Source organism: Homo sapiens, chromosome 9 (assembly GCF_000001405.40).
Source record: "Homo sapiens chromosome 9, GRCh38.p14 Primary Assembly".
In the NCBI taxonomy this organism is placed as follows: domain Eukaryota; kingdom Metazoa; phylum Chordata; class Mammalia; order Primates; family Hominidae; genus Homo; species Homo sapiens.
The window spans coordinates 14,902,514-14,922,804 of record NC_000009.12 but is presented as its reverse complement, the minus strand read 5'-3'; the positions used below and the strand labels follow the sequence as shown (position 1 = coordinate 14,922,804).

Sequence of the window (20,291 nt, the reverse complement as noted above, 5' to 3'; positions counted from 1 at the left end):
CTGCTACCATTTCTAAAATCTTTTCCCACCCCATGTGATTCTGATGTGTCCACATCCAAAGCCCCCACTCCTTCCCCTGTTGTTCTGTCTTTTTTTTTTTTTTTTTTTTTTTTTTTTTTGCTAAAACTGTTATGAACGATGACTCTCTTCTTTTTGGTTCACAAGTCATAGGTATGCAGGCCTACATTGCTGCTATTCTTCTTTCCCATGAAAAAGCCTGTGTTACACTAGGAGCAAATAAGGTTAATATGCAAAGTAATGTGGAGACAGAGCTTGCTGATAGAGAGAGAAAGAACTGATGCTATTATTTAAGTCCCTAGATCCACTCAAGGTAGTAGGGTTGTTGTCAGGGTTAAATGAGTTAATAATGGGAGTGCTGCAGCCACTGCCGCTGATTCCAGATCTCATTGCCACACGCCCCGACGACTGCCTGATGTGCATTCCTGATTCCTTTTGGTTCCAAGTCCAATGTGGCAACTCTCAAGGATCAGCTGCTTCATAATCTTCTAAAGGAAGAACAGACCGCCCAGAATAAGATTACAGTTGTTGGGGTTGGTGCTGTTGGCATGGCCTGTGCCATCAATATCTTAATGAAGGACTTGGCAGATGAACTTGATCTTGTTGATGTCATCGAAGACAAATTGAAGGGAGAGATGATGGATCTCCAACATGGCAGCCTTTTCCTTAGAACACCAAAGATTGTCTCTGGCAAAGACTATAATGGAACTGCAAACTCCAAACTGGTAATTATCATGGCTGGGACATGTCAGCAAGAGGAAGAAAGCCGTCTCAATTTGGTCCAGCGTAACGTGAACATCTTTAAGTTCATCATTCTTAATGTTGTAAAATACAGCCCGAACTGCAAGTTGCTTATTGTTTCAAATCCAGTGGATATCTTGACCTACGTGGCTTGGAAGATAAGTGGTTTTCCCAAAAACCATGTTATTGGAAGTGGTTGCAATCTGGATTCAGCCCAATTCCGTTACCTGATGGGGGAAAGGCTGGGAGTTCACCCATTAAGCTGTCATGGGTGGGTCCTTGGGGAACATGGAGATTCCAGTGCACCTGTATGGAGTGGAAAGAATGTTGCTGGTGTCTCCCTGAAGACTCCGCACCCAGATTTAGAGACTGATAAACATAAGGAACAGTGGAAAGAGGTTCACAAACTGGTGGTTGAGAGTGCTTATGAGGTGATCAAACTCAAAGGCTACACATCCTGGGCCATTGGACTCTCTGTAGCAGATTTGGCAGAGGTACAGTGAAGAATCTTAGGCAGGTGCACCCAGTTTTCACCATGATTAAGGGTCTCTATGGAATAAAGGATGATGTCGTCCTTAGGGTTCCTTGCATTTTGGGACAGAATGGAATCTCAGACCTTGTGAAAGTGACTCTGACTCCTGAGGAAGAGGCCTGTTTGAAGAAGAGTGCAGATACACTTTGGGGGATCCAAAAAGAGCTGCAATTTTAAAGTCTTCTGATGTCATATCATTTTACTGTCTAGGCTACAACAGGATTCTAGTTGGAGGTTGTACATGCTGTCCTTTTTATCTGATCTGTGATTAAAGCAGTAATATTTTAAGATGGACTGGGAAAAACATCAACTCCTCAAGTTAGAAATAGGAATGATTTGTAAAATCCACAGCTATATCCTGATGCTGGATGGTATTAATCTTGTGTAGTCCTAAACTGGTTAGTGTGAAGTAGTTCTGCCACCTCTGATGCACCACTGCCAATGCTGTACATGCTGCATTTGCCCCTTGAGCCAGGTGGATGTTTACCGTGTGTTATATAACTTCCTGGCTCCTTCACTGAACATGCCTAGTCCAACGTTTTTTCCCAGTCAGTCACATCCTGGGATCCAGTGTGTAAATCCAATATCGTATGTCTTGTGCATAATTGTTCCAAAGGATCTTATTTTGTGAACTATATGTATCAGCAGTGTACATTACCATATAATGTAAAAAGATCTACATGTAAACAATGCAGCTAACTATCCAAGTGTTATACCAACTAAAACCCCCAATAAACCTTGAACAGTGAAAAAATAAATAAATAAATGAGTTAATGCATGTAAATAAAAACGTACATAAGAGTGTATATGTTCAATAATAATTTGCTGTCCTCAATCATATCTCAATGTATAATATTTCTATGTATTCTTATCTTCTCCAACTAGACTGTAAAGTTTTTGAGAGCAGGCACTAGGTCCTACTCAGCACTTGGCCTACACTTAGGTTCAGTAACCCTCGTTGAAGGGATCAGCATATTTCTGTGAGGCACAACCAGTGTGTGGCTTCAGCTTCAGCTTTCCAAACAGTCTGTGATTTTGTTAGTAGAATTGTGAAATTTACTCCTAATGTGTGGAACGCATCTTTGCCTGTGGTTTTATTTTGTTAATTTCATTGTGTTCTAACTTAGGCTAAGTTGCCATGATGTTTTTGTGCGAAAACTGATTTTATTTTTATTTTTCATCATGCAAAATGTCTTTTGAGAAAGCTGGAGTTAGGACATTTTTCTAGAGTCACATTTTAAAAAATTAAGGTCAGTAAGCAAAGACTCCCAACTCCTTGAGTTATGCTTGGAAAAATAAAATTGCTGCTGGTGCTAAGCTTTGAAATTACTAAATCACTCTCAAGTCCCACACAGATTGTTAAAATGGAAAACATCTGAAAATTAAATTCTTTATGTTGCCTTTGGTGCATCTTCCCCTTTTCTGTAAAAGGTGGAGATAAAAAGGATTCCTGAAAAGGATTCCTGATGATTTTTTCATGTTTTTAATGCATGTGCAAAATTCTTATGTCTAGTTAATGCTAGCATTTGAAGCTGTGTCCAAATGCAAGCATTTGCCTGTTTGATTTTCAGTTGTGAAGGCAGAGTGGAATGGAAGCTGTCAGTTTATTCTGATTTCCTGTCTGAATTTAGTGGACAAATGTGGAAATGATAATATAATTAGTAGAATTTTTACCCTGAAGTTTCCATATCTACACACAATAGCCTTGAATATGGAGGATGGGAAATGTTTGCGCAAATAGATTCACTGAAGCACATGATTTGAGTATAAGCCCTTGTAAAGTTAGGGGACCTGAATCCCTCATCCTTTCAGATCCAGCTGGACCATTAGCTCCAGAAATAAAACAAAGTGCTAGGAGAAGGATTCCTTTGTTGTTAATAGCTACATGCTTGCACGATGTGTGCATGTGTGTATTTGGAAGCCTGTCCCTTCAGTGTCTCTCCAGTCAGGAGCATCTTCTTCAAAGCCTTCACGCAGACGATTCCTTTAAAGCCTGCCTCTTGTCTGAAATAAAACAATAGCCTGCTAGCAGCCTGGAAGCCCTTGAGGTAATTGGTGAATTGAAATTGGTATGTATCTTTTTCATCTATCCTTTTATTTTTACCACAGATGTACAAATAAACAATTGTGTTGGTTTTTTGTTTTTAAAAATTACATATTATTCTGTCCATCTTTTTAAAAATAGTTTTATTGAGGTATAATTGATATATAAAAATTGCACACATTTAACAGATACAATTTGATGAGTTTGAACATATGCACATAATAGATAATCAAGGTAATAGATAAATCGACCACCTCCAAAAATTTCCCTGTGCCTCTTTGTTTTTTGCTTTGTTTCATTTTGTTTTGTTGTAAGAATACTTAACATGAGATCTATCTTAACAAATTTCTAAATACAATGTGCCCTTGTTACCTATAGGCACAATGTTGTACAGCAAATCTCTAGAACTTATTAATCTTGCATAACTGAAGCATTGTACCCATTGAACAGCGCCTTGTTTCTCCTGCCTCCAAGTCCCTGGCAGCTACCCTTCTACTCTCAGTTTCTATGAGTTTAACTATTTCATATACCACATATAAGTGGAATCATGCAGTATTTGTCCTTCTATGGCTAGCTTATTTCACTTAGCATAATTTCCTCCAGATTCATCCATCTTGTCTCATATGGCAAGATTTTCTTCTTTTCAAAGGCCGAATAATATCCCATTGTGTATATACACCACATTTTCTTTACCCATTTATCTGTTGATAGACACTTAGGTTGTTTCCGTATGTTGGCTACTCTGAATAGTGCTGCAGTGAACATTGGAGTGCAGATATCTCTTCAAGATCCTGATTTCCATTCTTTTGGATATACATTCAAAAGCGGGATGGCTGAATCACATGATAGTTCTATTTTTCATTTTTAGAGGAACCACCACACTTTTTTTTATAGTGGCTGCATCGTTTTGCCTTCTCAGCAAGAGGGTACAAGGGTTCCAATTTCTCCACATCTTCATCAACATTTATCTTTTGCTTTTATTTTTTATAATTGTGATGGTTAATACTTAGCATCAACTTGATTGGATTGAAGGATGCAAAGTATTGATCCTGAGTGTGTCTGTGAGGGTGTTGCCAAAGGAGATTAACATTTGACTCCGTGGGCTGGGAAAGGCAGACCCATCCTTAATCTGGGTGGGCACTGTCTAATTAGCTGCCAGAATGACCAGAATAAAAGCAGGTAGAAGAATGTGGAGAGATGAGACTGGCTTAGCCTCCCAGCCTGTATCTTTGTCCCATGCTGGATGCTTTCTGCCCTGGTACATCAGACTCCAGGTTCTTCAGCTTTGGAACTCTGACTGGCTTCCTTGTTCCTCAGCTTGCAGAGGACCTATTGTGGGACCTTGTGATCACGTGAGTAATACTCCTTAATAACCCCTCCCCTTTTTATATACATCTATCCTATTAGTTCTGTCCCTCTAGAGAACTCTGACTAATAACGTAATATCCATCTTAATAGTGTGAAATAATATCTCATTGCGGTTTTGATTTGCATTTCCCTGAAGATTAGTTACATCAAGCATTTTTTATATACCTTTTGGCCATTTTTATATCTTAAAGAAATGTCTGTTGAATTTTTTTGCCCATTTAAAAATGTCTATTGAGATTTTGCCCATTTTTTAATTGAGTTGCAGGAGTTCCTTGTATATTTTGGATATTAATCCCTTATCAGAAATATGATTTGCAAATATTTTTCCCTATTCTGTGGGTTACCTTTTAATCTGTTGAGTGTTTTGTTTACTGTGCAGAAGACTTTTAGTCTGATGTAGTTTTACTTGTCTAATTTTGCTTTTGTTACTTCTGGCGTTTTTTTTTTTTTTTTTTTTTTTTTTTTGGAATTTTCCTCCTCAGTGATTCTTGTTCCAATGTTACTTATATTATTTTTGGTATTATATCCAACAGATCATTGTCAAGCCTAATGTCATAAAGCTTTTCCCCTACGTTTTCTTCTACAAGTTTCATAGTTTCATGTGTAACACTTAAGTTTTTAATCTATTTTGAGGTGATTTTTGTATATTGTGTAAGCTAAGGGCCCAATTTCATTCTTCTGCATGTGAATATTCAGTTTTGCCAACACCATCAGTTGAAGAACTGTCTCTTCCCCATTGCGTATTTGTGTAACCCTTGTCAAAGATCAGTTGACTGTACATGCCTGGGTTTATTTCTGGGCTCTTTATTCTGTTCCATTGGTCTCTATCTCTGTTTTTATGTCAGTATCACACTGTTTTGATTAATATAGCTTTGTATTATATTTTGAAATCAGGAGGTGTTGTGTCTCCAGTTTTCTTCTTTTTTTTTTAAGATTGTTTTGGCCATTTCAAATCTTTTGTGGTTTCATATGAATTTGATGATTTTTTTCTGGGTATAAAAGGAATTTACCTAAACACAATAAATGCCATATGAGGGGACTTTTAAAAATTGTGGAAAAATTAAATTAAAAAATAAAAATAAAAAATACATACTTTATTTCTCAATATAAACTCCATGAAGTTCAAGATACTTTTGTAAATGATAATACCAGCTAATTAGTCTGTCCCTAAAGACCTGGAAATACTGGCAGTTTAGCCATATCAATGCAGTCTTTTTAACATTATTAGATGAAGAAAAATGGGTTCTCTTTAAAGACTTTTTAAGGTTAGGGGAAAAAAAGAAGTCAGAAGGAGCCAAATTTGGAGACTGTAAGATGGATGTATAATGATTTCCCATCAAAAGTCTTGCAAAATGGCCATTGTTCAATTAAAGGAATGAGCAGCAGCATTGTCCTGGTGGAGGTGGACTCTGGCAAAGCTTTCCTGCGTGTTTTTCTGCTAAAGCTTTGGCTAACTTTCTTAAAACACTCTCATAGTATGCAAATCTTATCGTTCTTTGGTCCTCCAGAAAGTTAACAAGCAAAATTCCTTGAACATCCGAAACAAGTTTGCTATGATCTTTGCTCTTGACTGGTCTGCTTTTGCTTTGGCTGGACAACTTTCACCTTTTGGTAGTCATTGCTTTGATTGTTCCTTGTCTTCAGGGGCATACTGGTAAAGCAGTGTTTTATCTTCTGTTGTAATTATTTAAAGAAATCCTTCAGGATCTTGATCCTCCTTGTTTAAAATTTCCATTGAAAACTCTGTTCTTGTCTACAGCCGATCACAGCACAATCATTTTGGCACCACTCAAATGGTAAGTTTGCTTGACTTTAATTTTTTGGTCAGAATTGTGTAAGCTGAACCAACTGAGGTGTCTATGGTGTAGACTGTTGTCTGTGCTATTAATCATTGATTCTCTTCAATTAAGGTATGAACTAAATGAATTTTTTTTTCGCATTTTGATGTGGATGGTCTGCCCCTGTGAGCTTCATCTTCAACATTGTCTCATCTCTTCTTAAAATGAGTTATCCATTTGCAAACTGCTGATTTCTGTGGGGGCATTTTCCCCACAAACTTTTCATAAAGCACCAATGATTTCACTATTCTTCCACCGTAAATTTGATCTTTGCTCTTATTTCAATTTTAGCAGAATTCATGTTGCTCTGATAGCAGTTCTTTTCAAACTGGTGTCTTATAGTTGTTAGTGCCTCAAGCTAGACGTTCCGACATGTTATAACAAGTTAGTACAGATTTATTTTGGTGCAAAGAATTTTTGAAATCCATGTAAAGTTTTTTATAAAAACACTTTTTTTAAAAGTCCTCTTTACTTAGTGATAAATGTAATCAAGATGAAAGTCTCATACGCTGTACACTAAAAACTACAAATCATTGATAAAAATATTAAAGAAGGAACAAATAATTGGAAAGACAGCCCATGTACATGGATTGGAAGACTTAATATAGTTAAAATGTCCATACTACCCAAAGTGATCTACAGATTCAGTGTAATCCTTATTAAAGCATGTTCCTGTACTTTTGCAATTTCCTTTTTTCTTTTTTTTTTTTTGAGACAGAGTCTTGCTCTGTCACCCAGGCTGGAGTGCAGTGGTGTGATCTTGGCTCACTGCAACCACCACATCTAGGTTCAAGTGATTCTCCTGCTTCAGCTTCCCAAGTAGCTGGGATTACAGGCACCTACCACCATGCCCAGCTAATTTTTTTGCTATTTTTAGTAGAGATGGGGTTTCACCATGTTAGCCAGTCTGGTTTCAAACTCCTGACCTCAAGTGATCCACCCGCCTGGGCCTCCCAAAGTGCTAGGATTACAGGTGTGAGCCACTGCACCTGGCTGCAATTTGCTTTCTTTACTCAACATCTTTTTGGTTTAGATGATGGTTGTTTCAATATTTTTCAATTACAATGGCAAAGAATGTCAGGTATAAGACTTTTTGTACACATATGAGAATCTAAGTGTAACTCTAGAAGTTAAAATGCCTAATTTAAGGTTTTTGGAATATTTACTTTTACTAGAAATGGTCAGACTACTTTCTAAGTGTTTGTGTCTATTTAAAACTTCCAGTAGCAACTAAGAGTTTTCCCCCCGCTTATCTTTTACCAGATTTAATTTATTTAATTTACCAGATTTAATTTATTGTAAGATTTTAAACGTTTTATTTATCTGAGAGAGTCTCATTTTTAGTCTCCATTTGTACTGGCCTGATTGTTTGTGTAATTGGATGCTTTCATGTATTTATTAGCCATTTGTGTGTCTTCTCCTTTAATAAAAGGAGAATATTAAGATTTTTTTCTTAATGATTTGTATAGGCTTCAGAAGCTTCTTTAAATTTTGAGCATAAAGATTTTGTAATTTATTTTCATTTTCAGTACCTTCTCCCAATTTCTGTTTTTTTTTTTAAAAAAAAACTTTTAAGTTTTTGCTCCATGGGAAATTTTAATTATTATATAAAATATATCAAGTTTTTCTTTTATAGCCTTTACTTATTGTATCACACTTAAGAAATTTTCCCTTGATATTAAGAAGATATTCCTTGATTTTTTTGGTTCCAAAAGTTAAAGGCTTTGTTATCAAATTAAGATACTCAAATCAACTGCAATTTGTTTTGGTGTATAGTATGAGGTAAAGATCTAATGTTTTTTGATATATGATATGAAGTAGAGTTCTGATGCTATGTTTTCCATATGGATAACCTATTGTCCTGTCAACGTATTATTGATTGTCTATTATTTCTTCACTGACTTCTATTCTGACCTTGGTCATACACCAGGTTGCTATATGTGAGTGACCTGCTTCCAAGCTTTTCTAGACTCTTTCTTTGCCTTCTATCACTGTGAAAATTCCACAATTTCTTAATTGTTAAAACTTTATAATATAAAATATCAATATTTAGCAGGGAAATTAATCATTAAATGTATCTTCTTCAATTTGTCTTGGCCATTCCTGGTTTTTATTCTTTTAGATAAATTTTAGTATCAGCTTGTCATTTTATATATATATATATATATATATATATATATATATATACACACACACACATACACACACACACACAAAATATATACAAATATATAAATACATATAATTTATATATTTCATAGTATATATAATATACATATATAACATATATGTACATAATGTGTATATGTGTACACATATTTATATAAAATGCCTTGTTGGCATTCCAATTGACACTGCATTGAAATTTTAATTTTGGGAGAATTGACATTTTTACATTATTAAGTCTTCTCAACCAGTTTGATATTATCTTCCCATTTATCTAGATTTTTTATGCCCTTTATTAATTTTTTATTTTCTTCATGAAATTTTACCCAAATTTAATTAATTTAGATGAATTACCAGGCTCATTAAAGTTTTGCTGCTATTATAAAAGCTGTCTTTTAAAAAGTATTTTCAGTAATTAGTTGTTACTTGTATATATGAACGCCATCTATTTTTGTATGTTGACCTTATGTCCAACAAACTTGCTGAACTCTTTGAATAGTTCAAACAGTAAATTCTTTTGCATATTTGTACAGAGACTCTTATCTTTTGCAAATAATGAAAGGTTTATTTTTCCTTTTAAATTTTTATGCCTCATTTTTTTATCTTGACTTACTGTGTTGGTTAGGATCTCCTATCCAATGTTGAATTGTGGAGATTGGAGTAAGATGTCTTTAATTGGATTTAGGAACTTCCCTTCCAGACCTAGTTGGCTAATAGTTTTCAGTTTTTGGTTTTTTAATGAATGAGTATTAAATTTTACTGAATGTCTTTTTTCTGCACTTATTAAGATAGTCATGCCTTTTTTCCTTCTTTAATATATTAAACTGCTAGATGTTCTGATTTTGAAACATCCTTGCAATCCTGAAAGAAAAATTCATCGCTATTGGTCATGTTGTCTTTTAAAAAGCAGAGCTGAATTTGATTTGTAAATTAGTTATTTAGGATTTTGCATTCATGTTGACAGTCAAATTGGCCGGTAGCGCTCTCATGGCAAGCAGAGCACGCTGCTCTTGTGCCCTGCTCAGGGGTGGTTTTATTTCCTGATAACCCCTAATCACGTTGTCAGCTCCCAAGTCTGAGGTCAGCAAGGCTCTTCCTATAAACCCTCTCATCGGCTGTGTTATTGCTCTTTTCTGGTACACAGAGGTGTTTGTATTGCTTTTCTTTATTTATTTGTTTTCATGTTTATTATTTCAATTGTGGTATGTATAACCTTTCTATTCCTGGACTCATCCTCTTCTCTTGCCATAGTATTGCTTCCCATGGCCATCTAGTGTTAGAGACTCAGTGGAAAACTATCTTTACGTTGCAATAGATAACACTTCTGTCTGCTGCCATCGTCAAAATTTAATAGGCACATTCCTAATTTTTTATATGAATTGTTGGTGAAGGCATTGGCTATGCCTTTCAGAGAATGCTACATTCTACAGCAATTCAACAAAAATCATTCATATTTACAATCCAAAATGATATGCCAATCTCCAACACACATTTGATATTTTTCATTATCACTCCAACTAGGGCTAGAAGTAAAATGATTTCTTTAAAAATGAATTTTGTGCCAGCACTAAGTTCAGCAGCACATGCTTTTAGGGGAAGAATTCTTTGTTGTTTCTTTGACTAGTTCTTTTTAAATTCCCTAGCTTGGCATTTCAATCTGTTCAAACAGTATTTTATTGATTGAAGTTGATAATTGTATTATTTCCAGGCCCTTATTCATTTGTGGCAGATAGAAGGAATGACATTTGTATAAACAGGTACTTCAGATTTCAGGACATTTTGACTGATCTAACTCTTAACTGCCTATTTCAGAATATGTTCAGCACAGTTAGGCCAAGCTTCATGTATATAATTAACTTTGGAAAGATTATATCTCCTGCGGACTTTTTGAAATACTTTACAATCTAAGTTTGTTATTTTTTGCTTAGCATGCTTAAGTTATTTTTCCCATAGAAGTGATATAAAGACATTTATCTCTGTTTCTAGACTAATCTGTAAACCTTATTTAGCTCTTAATCTATCTATAAACTTTATAATCTATCTATAAACTAATCTATAAACCTTATTAGTTTCTAGACTAATCTATAAACCTTATTTAGATGTTAGAATAAGCATGTTGATGCAACCGTTTGTACATAGTATACAATTCCTTTGTCAAATGGAATCCGAGTCTCAACTAACAGCTTCTAAAACCATCTTCATTTCTTTGCAGGTAAGATATTCACAACCTGGGCAATTTTGAAAATCAGTTGGGGAATAAAATTGTCTATTATGCTGTGTTTCTTAACTGTCATTATTAAGGCTTTATTTCTTGCCTTTTCAGGATTAATATATGACTCACACATTGTCACTATATTTATTTAATAATAACTGTGTTTAGTAAATAATATCTGTTCACTTATAAAGAGCTTAGTGATTCTTAACTTTCACCTACTTATTCTCAGAGCAAATAAAATGAATCAAGAAATTCTTGAAGATTTGAAATCTCCGATGACTTTGAGTAAGTGTATATGCACCATTCATTGCTAAAGTAACCACAAAGCATGTTTTTAAAATACATAATTTTTTTCTCCCTTCTTATGCATTCTTTTCTTCTTTACATTTTTCTCTTTTCTTTCTTCCTTCCTCATGTAATTTTCTTCTCCTTTTTCATTTTCCTCTCTCTTTTCCTTATGGCTTCCAAAGAAAGGCATATGGTGTTGTGACCTTGTTACGGGAAACCACATCTAGGTTGAATTGGATTCACAGTGTTCTATATTTTTGGCAAAGGTTTAGGATAGCCAGACATGTCTTAATATAAACAGTTCCCCCAAAGTGAGTTAATACTTCAAATTCTCTCTTTATGGTTAATTTAGAAGGCCAGATGGTAGGCCATTATCTTTTTTTTTCCTGGTGGGAATAAAATACAGGAAAGCATTTTATTAAACAGTTGTTAAGGATTAAGACTTTCACAGACCACTGAATACTGACAAGTTAACTATGTGAATCTCTGTTGAGAGGACAGTTCTTGGCCAGTGATATATCTGCATTATTGGGATCACGCACTATATGCAAATGGATCAGATTAATGGGATTTTTATGGGTTTTCGAAAAGAGCCAGACACACAAAAAGCCTTACAAATGGAAGAACTAAGGTGGTACTTAAAAACAGCACCTTAGGATCTAGTTCCATCCTATCTTTTCCCTTAAATGCCATGACAAAAGTTAAAACGGGCCCTGTCCCTTCTGAATGCTGGGCTTCTCATCTAAATTTAAATAAAAACCTTTGAAGATGGGAATGTGTTGGAAGAAAAGAAGGGCAGAAAAAAAGTGTGTTGGAAGAGTCTGTGTGAGTATGTACATGTGTGGGTGTGGGCATGTGCGGCCTGTGCGTATGTGTGTGCCCCCGTGTGTGTGTGGAGCATGCGTGAGAATGCATGCACATGTGTGGGGTGGGTCACTATGTGTGCATGCATGTGAAGGCATTTGCCTGTGTATGTGTCTGTGTGTGGTGATTGTGTGTCTATCGTGTTTGTATGTGTGCCTGTGTGTGTACCTCTGTGAGTGGGTGTGTCTGTATGTGACTGTGTGCCCATTTGTGAATGTGTGTGTGCCTGTGTCTGAGTGTGTGTGTGCCTGTGTGCTGCAGGCGGGAGAGGCTGCTCTGGCTCGGCGAGTGGCGGAGCAGTTAGTACAAAACTAGTAGTGAGAAAGGAAGCTGGGAAGAGACTGGGAAGAGGCAACCGACCTCATTAACAAAAGCTCAGTTTTGTCCCTGCGGACCCAACCAGCAGAAGGCACGGGGCTAGCGGTGGCTGTCCGCCAGGGAGGTCGGGCTCTGTGTAAACAGTAGAAGGCATCTTTATCATGCCCTTCTCACAGGGAGTCCTGAGGCTTGGCGCTCAGGAAGTTTGCAAAGCTGCAGCAGCTGCCTTGGAGAAGACCAGCAAAGAAAGTGGAGTGTGTATGTGAACTTCAATTCTGTATTTTCTGTGAGGTGGGTTAATGGATTTTTAGTAAAAAGAAATCTCAAACACAGCTGACCTGAAAGACTGGAATTTCAGCTCTCTTCCTTCCCGGGGTTCTTTTTCCTCCCCCTTCCTCTCAAAGCCCTTTAAACCAGATTGCTGTGTCAGTGACTCTTATCCTGCCCGCCAGTTCCAAGGGTTTCTAACTTTTTGTCTTGGAAAGGAAAACCACTACCTGTAAGTATCTGTTTTATGTGTTTCTTTTCATTGTGACTGTGAATGTTCTGTTAGCAGAATGCCCCAGAGATTGTTTGTGTGATATCATTAATGCCAAGTAACAATGCAAAGCATCTGCAAGAGTAGGCTTGCAAAAGTTTAACTCTCCTGTTAACTCAGAAGATGGCAACTTGCAGTGTTAACAAACCAAATGCCAAAACTGAGATTCTTTTTATTACGTGACACAAATTTCTAACTCTTCTCAGTCCATCCGTGCTGGCACTTGCCAATGAAATAACCATTTTTTAACTGTGTAATTGTTTCCTCTGAAATTAGAATGTTTCTTCTCAGCTAAATGAAATGGCAAAGGGAAAAGACACAAAAATGAACAGAACAGATAATATCCTCATGGTACAAACATAGAGAAATTTGGATGAGATAATGTCTGGATACCTTTGCTTAAGTTTAGTTATATTTGGAGACATATTTTCAAAAACATGATTTCTGTTTCATTGTGGGGAAGAGAGATAGTGCTGGGGAGGCAAAGAAATGGCCTTGTTCTGAAGTTTTTGGACTGATTTTTAGGCTCTCTCTGCTCAGTACTGAGATTTGGTCCAGAGACTTTGGTGCTGTTGTAAAGAGTTTCTTTTCATTTTATTTTGAAATCCAGGAAACAATTTTTGGCTTATGGAAATTGTTTATTGTTTTTAAGGTATTTAATTTTAGTTTCTGATTTTTTTTTAAACTATTGCACCCAGTCTTGTTGCTTGGTGTGCATTACAAAGCTTAAAAAGAGCATTTCTGGGAGCCAATTGGTGTTTATAGCCTGGGAATCTTACTGGAGAGATTAACCTCTGTGGTGCTGCTTCACAGAACAGAGCTAGTGATTCGAATGCTCTTCAGGTTTCTGCTCTGGAAAACTGACACCCGCTGTTCCTGACTCTAGGTAAAGCTTGAAGAGCTGTGCCTCAGCCCCCTGCTTACATTTGATAAAGGTGCCTTCAGTGCAGCTCTAGGAAACTTTGCTGTTTCTCTCCATCAGGCATTCTCAAAACTGACTGTGTGTAAGAACCCCCATTTGCTTGGTGAAAGGCAGGTTCTCAGTTCCCAGGCCCAAAGGATTTTAGACCTGGAGTGGTGCCAGGAATCTTCCCAGGTGATTCTGAAGCAGGTGGGTCACACTTGGGTAAACATTGCTCTACATTGTCCTTGACATGAAATTCTTGTCATGTACTTGGTTAATATTAAACCTTATATCTAAATAAGAAACCTGAGTTTGAGCTGTTGTTGAGCATAACTTAATGTGCAACATGGTTTTGCATGCTTGGCTGGCAAACCAGGGCTTTTTAATCAGTTTTCCACCAACCTCATCTTTTTTTTTTCTTGCTTCCCTTTTCATCTCTGCCTTTTCATTCCCACGAGGGAAAAAAGGAGTTGGGCAAAGGGACCTGACTACCATGTTCCCTGCTTTCACATGTTGGGCTATATGGCCTGATCTGCCCCCGCATGGCTAAGCAATGTTTGTTTTGGAAACTTTAAACCCAGGACTGTTCTTAATTCTTTCCCAGCCTCCTGGGGCTGCTGGGCTGTAGGGGTTGGGCGAGGCTGAGTTTGGGTAAACTGAGCTTGATTTCATGGAATGGTTCAGGAGCCTCATTCCTAGAAAATGATTTTTGGATTGGACCATCCCACAGGGATGAGAAGAAACAGAAAATGATTCTTCCATGGTGTTAAAATTCTCATTTCACAATATGTGAAAGTCAGAGCTCAGCTTCCATCCCCATCCTTGCATTTTCTGGCGTTTAATATTTATATTAAAAAGAAAACTGGACATGGCCATCAGAGCCCCTTGCTTTCTTTTCTTTCCTCATTCCAAACATTTAGGTGCACCTGCTACATGCCAGGCTCTGTGATAGTTTTTAAGGATTTCAGAATGCCCACTGGGGATGGCATGCACAGGCAGGGTCCTTGTCCTCATGGTGTTTCAAATCTTAGTTGTTGCTAACCAGCCTTGGAAGAGCCATCTAACCCCTCAAAGCTTCACTTCCTCATCAGTAAAATAAGTTGAATTAAATGAGTTTTGGTATCTTCCTAGCTCTGATATTCTGACATTGATGGATATGACTCAGTCTTCTAAACACAGATATGGGCTATGAGAGCTTTTCAGCATTTACTCTGAGAATAGGCCTAAAGATTTCGCTAATTGCTTTTCTTCAAAAATTTTCAGATGTATTTTTTTCTCTCACAAAGCACCATGACCACAGGAATATTGAGTTAGACAAGTGTAATCTTTTCAGGGCATGTAGCCATTCCTTACAATGGGATCCCGTAACTCCCTGGAAAGGCTGTTTCCCTGCGCCAGGTTACATAGGAGGGCAGCCTCTTATCTTGTCTGAATCTGATGTCGCTACTCCTTTGGAGAGCTGGGTGGTCTGAACAGGGCTTGACAGCTTCCACACATGCACAGCTTGCAACCTGACCCTTTCATTCAAGTGATTCAACAGCTTTTGTGCTACCAGGTGAGAGGCTTAAACAGACATCTTTGAGGGGCCGAGCGAAACAAAAAACAAAGCAAAACCCACTCCCTAATGAAATACTGTCTATACTATATTTTGTCTGTAATGCAGCTTCTCTCACTGCAGTGACTGGGGCACCATTTCAAAGGGCTCTAAAACTTGGCCATCAAGATAAGAAATTATAGGTGTGATTTATGTGCTTTTTGACAACATAGCCTCTAGCTGTCTGAAGATAATATGTTTGAGTGGAAAACTATTGACTGGAGGACAGGGATCTTGCTAAGTTAGAATATTTTTAAACAAATGTTCTTTGCCTCTCATGGGTAAGTTTTTACAGAAGCCAAAAATAGTTTTTGGTTTCTCCCTTAAACCTGCCTATTTATGGAGGTGATGATATTTGGGGAAAATGTGTATTAAAAAATGATGCCCAAAATGCTCTTTTTGTGCATCATCCAAAGGCTGCTAAGATTGCATGTCACTTTTCACTCTCAGGTTTATCCTTGAAACTTTCTTATCTGGCTCCCCAGCAACAAAGGACAGATAAATGCCCAGGGAGCGACTGAGCCTCAAGTCCTTTACTGGGTGTTCTGCTTTCCTGGAACTCTTCCCTGCTTTCTATCAAACATTATCAGCTGCTTAGTACTTACAGATGCTCTGTGCACTCTTCTCTTAAAATATGTGAGCCACAACTTTGCCTCATTAGCCCACACCCACTGCCATGCTACCTTCATTCTAAGGCCTACGTTTCTTGTTAGCATAAAAATGATTTATTTGGTAAATTACAAACTCAAACCACAGTAAAGTTAGGAAGATTGCAGAAAGGATAGATACCGCAGATGAAAATTCACCCAAATATTTAAAATTTGTTAGGCGTTTCCTATCAAATCTCTTTCATAGTACAGATTTTTTCTTTTTTGTTAAAGTGATCCTACACCTTAGAAAGACAACAGAGCAACAACACAACAGCAATACTTTAATTCTGTTTTACATAAATGTCCCTTTTTATTATCACATGGTAGGATGGTTCTATATTACCCAATAAGCATTAGTGATTGTTTTAAAACCAGAAGGCAGTATTGACGCAAGGGCCGGAATGTTAAATCAGAGAGGTGCAGTAGGAAAAAATAATGGCCTTTGAAAAAATTTCACCTGGGTTCTAATCATAGGCTACAATGTTCTTTGGCTCTGTAATGTTGGCCAAGTTACTCAGCCAGTTTCCTCAGGGGTAAAATGAGGTCATTGATACTTACCTCACTAGATGTTCGTTTATGAAGCATGATGTACAAGTGTTTAATAAATATTTCTTCTTTGGGAGACGGCTAATACAAGTATAATGTCTGAAAAGAAAACAAACATGGCAAGCGACTTAATTTATAGATGAAAAGAAAAGAGAAACAGGAAATAAAGTTACATTCCAGATCCCAATGTCTGGGGAGAACAGATCTCAACCCACCACTCCCGTGGCCTTTAACTCTGATCAGCAGCCTGGTTCTCACTTTATTCTTTTTTTTTTTCTTTTTTTAAATTTGAGACAGAGTCTTGCTCTATTGCCCATGCTGCAGTGCAGTGGCGTGATCTTGGCTCACTGCAACCTCTGCCTCCCTGGTTCAAGCCATTCTCCTGCCTCAGCCTCCCGAGTAGCTGGGACTACAGGCGTGCACTGCCATGACCGGCTAATTTTTTTGTATTTTTAGTAGAGACAGGGTTTTGCCATGTTGGCCAGGCTGCTCTTGAACTCCTGACCTCAGGTGATCCGCCAGCCTCGGCCTCCCAAAGTGCTAGGGTTATAGGCGTGAGCCACTGCCCCCGACCCTCACTTGATTCTTATAGACCAAAAGCCTGACACAGATCCGTGAGCTCAAGACTATGAAATTGTTTGGTATTGAGAAATCAAGGGCAATGTGAAAATCATTCTGTCTTCATTTTTTACTGATTCTCCTCATATAGGTGTTTTAGATAAATGCATAAGGAGATGCATCATTTTGTTTTTCTCAAGATTTTGCTCCATTGTAGCAAGGGGCCCCTCAGGGGTAATGTTTATTTGAGAATTTGAAACTCTGGGCTTGCACTGTAGTGAGCCTGCGAACCATCACCAAAGGAAGGACATATTCATTCAAACATGTGGAGGAGTGTGCACTCTCTCTCTCTCTCACCATTTTAAAAAATAGGTCTGGTATTTGCATTTAGTCACTCAACTGATATTTATTGAGCTTCTCTGTGAAAGATTCAATGATCAGCACTAAAAGAACTTGGGTGAACAGAACAGTCATGGTTATTATCTTCAAGGTGTTTATAGACCAGGAGAAACAGCAGACTTTTTTTTTTAATGGCTGCGAATAATGACAAAATGCTTATAGATATGCAACATGTGGCAAAGTGTATTTCAGGATTCCATGTGAGCAGATAAAACTGGTTTGGGAGATTGAGGCCTGAAGGATGAGTAGAATTTAGCCAGGTAAATGAGGTGGTTGATGGCAGTGGGGAAGGGCATTCATGGCAGATGGAACAGAATGGACAAAACCTGCAAAGGCTTGGAAGCTGGGGTTGGCAATATGGTGAGTTTAAGGATGGGAAGAAGTCCAGTTTGACCAGCATGTCAGTGGCAAGGAGGAGAGTCATGCAAGAAGAGGTTGGAGAGGTGTGCAGGGGACAGTCGGACACAGTTAAAAGTGATCCCGGAAAGTACCTAATCCACACTCCCTCTCTGAAACAAACAACCCTGTTCTGTGTCTGTACCTCAGCTCTTGCCATTATTGGACAGCACTGAGGGAAAGTCCTTTCTGAAAGTTGAGACTTTCACACATTCTCCCTGGTTCTGCACCCTGGAACCATCAAGTCACTCCCCTTCAAACATCTGAAGACAGACTATTTTAAAAAATAAAGTGCTGCGAAAGCAGATCTGCTCTTTTCCATACATATGCACTTGTTTTTGGGAAATGTAGAGTTACACAATTTTGCTTATTGGAAGCTAACTTACTGGCTCAGTGCATCATTCCAGGCTCTGATTATCAAAGCTGTGGATCTTGATTGTGTCCTCAGTGATAACAGTTAACCCTCTTGGATTTGTGCTTTCTGTGAATTGGATAAAGCTTGTCTTCTATATCTTTGTTTAAAGATTTAGAAAAATGTTTAACCAGAGAGAACCAAAAACGAGCTATAAGGCACAACTCTAAATATTTCTAATGAGAAAATGATGTCCCTAACCTCTCTTTTTTGTTCCCTTTTAAGGAGGAAACTAGTCACTAGTCTCTATAACCCAGAATCACAGAAATGTCTAAGTGTTTTTTTTTTTTTTTTTTTTTTTGAGACGGAGTCTTGCTCTGTCACCCAGGCTGGAGGCGCGATCTTGGCTCACTGCAAGCTCCGCCTCCCAGGTTCACGCCATTCTCCTGCCTCAGCCTCCCAAGCAGCTGGGACTACAGGCGCCTGCCACCACGCCCAGCTAATTTTTTTGTATTTTTAGTAGAGACGCGGTTTCACTGTGTTAGCCAGGATGGTCTTGATCTCCTGACCTCGTGATCCGCCCGCCTCGGCCTTCCAAAGTGCTGGGATTACAGGCTTGAGCCACCGCACCCGGCCAGAAATGTCTAAGTTTTAATAGAAAGAGCTCAAAGATATCAATGTGTGTTGGTGTTCTTGTTTTTTATGAGACTGCTTAAGGCACAATAATTGCTAATTTCATTTATTTATACAAAAGTTGAACTCATATTACATGCAGCGGACAGTGTTGTCCTTCTGCCTTCAAAACACATAGGCATATACACTACCAGGTAGGATGTGATAACTGCCCTGTGATGGGTTTAAATAAAATATGATTCTCCTGCAATCGGAGGAAGGAAGTCTTTCCAGATGAAATGATGAGGTCTTACGGAATCCTGAATGAGGCATTTCTTGAGGGGTTAATAAATGGGAAGGATCTCAATAAGGATGGAAGCAAAGACATTCCAGGCAATATAAAATAGCCCCTTTTAACATGAATCCATTGTCATTTAATGTACTGTGATATAATGACCCACTCTTTCCCAGCAGTCAAGCCATCAACCATCCATTTCAAATTATAGACACATGCCTTTTGCTTTCCTCATCAGTCATTCTTCATAATTTTCTTTCCTTTTAATATTTTCTTCATCTTAAGAATATCAGGTTCCTGCTGACCACATGTCATGGCTCAGTAACTTTGGTCTCATGAATGACTGTGGCCTCTGCTACCTACTTTCACACATTAGATCTAAATGAGACCACACAGCATTTTATAAAAATGACTTTACTTAAATTTTGAAAAATAGTCTATGTCTCAAGCTCTTAGAAATTTTGGAACAATCAAAAAAAGCTGCTGCTGGAGGTGCTGATTGGTGATTAAAATGTCACTCGAGGGTGATTTATCAGTGAGAGAAGAATAGGAGTTAAATGGCCATTTGATTACATTAAATAGTACCCAAAGAGTTTAACACTGCAATTTATATCCTATTCATAATCCTGTTTACCATGTAATTCTGTTAAGACTTCCTCCTGGTGTCAGTAAGCTGGTCTTCCAAATTCTTAAGACATTACTACAGCAAAAGGAAGTAAAATAAAATATGTAGCCACATAAACCCCCATTTAAAAATCAGTTTGTAATATACTCTGGACTTAGAGTTTGGCAGCAGGATGGGGTGACAAAATTCCTCAGACAGGACTAAAGGACTAGCTTTGCACTTTTACAGAATCTTTCAAAAACCTCAGATGGAACCAATTTTGTCTTTCTCATTTGTCCGTAGAGCCTCTGTGGTGCTGATTTGACTGTTCAAGCTAGGAGGTGGCAGTGCACTGGGTGTACCATTTAGCATTCAAGATACTATGTGGCCTCACCATCACTCATGGATTGTTGCTGAATTGCTTTACTGGAAAATATTGGTCTTCATTTAC

The 20,291-nt window shown here is 37.8% G+C and overlaps 1 protein-coding gene and 1 pseudogene across 34 annotated transcripts in view, besides 2 other annotated features; both read left to right on the top strand.

The window, feature by feature from the left end:
* On the top strand, positions 374-2,116 carry LDHAP4 (lactate dehydrogenase A pseudogene 4; annotated as a pseudogene).
* FREM1 (FRAS1 related extracellular matrix 1) overlaps positions 11,810-20,291 on the top strand; it is a 173,844-nt gene continuing 165,362 nt past the window's right edge. For 18 of the 34 annotated variants that reach the window (NR_163240.1, NR_163241.1, NM_001379081.2 and 15 more), the window contains exon 1: positions 12,377-12,891. The gene's annotated coding sequence lies outside the window, so the exon portion shown is untranslated. Of the gene's footprint in view, positions 12,036-12,376; positions 12,892-13,743; positions 14,042-20,291 lie in introns of those variants that run through there. The other 16 variants (NR_163239.2, XM_047422846.1, XM_017014321.3 and 13 more) reach the window with 6 other exon arrangements.
* Positions 13,612-14,113: an enhancer, noted in NCBI's record as "NANOG hESC enhancer chr9:14908690-14909191 (GRCh37/hg19 assembly coordinates)". NCBI's record gives its function as "activates a minimal SCP1, AML or CMV promoter by ChIP-STARR-seq in primed H9 embryonic stem cells {active_cell/tissue: H9 hESC(primed)}" and the evidence as "EXISTENCE:reporter gene assay evidence [ECO:0000049][PMID:30033119]".
* Positions 15,063-15,603: an enhancer, noted in NCBI's record as "OCT4-NANOG hESC enhancer chr9:14907200-14907740 (GRCh37/hg19 assembly coordinates)". NCBI's record gives its function as "activates a minimal SCP1, AML or CMV promoter by ChIP-STARR-seq in naive H9 embryonic stem cells {active_cell/tissue: H9 hESC(naive)}" and the evidence as "EXISTENCE:reporter gene assay evidence [ECO:0000049][PMID:30033119]".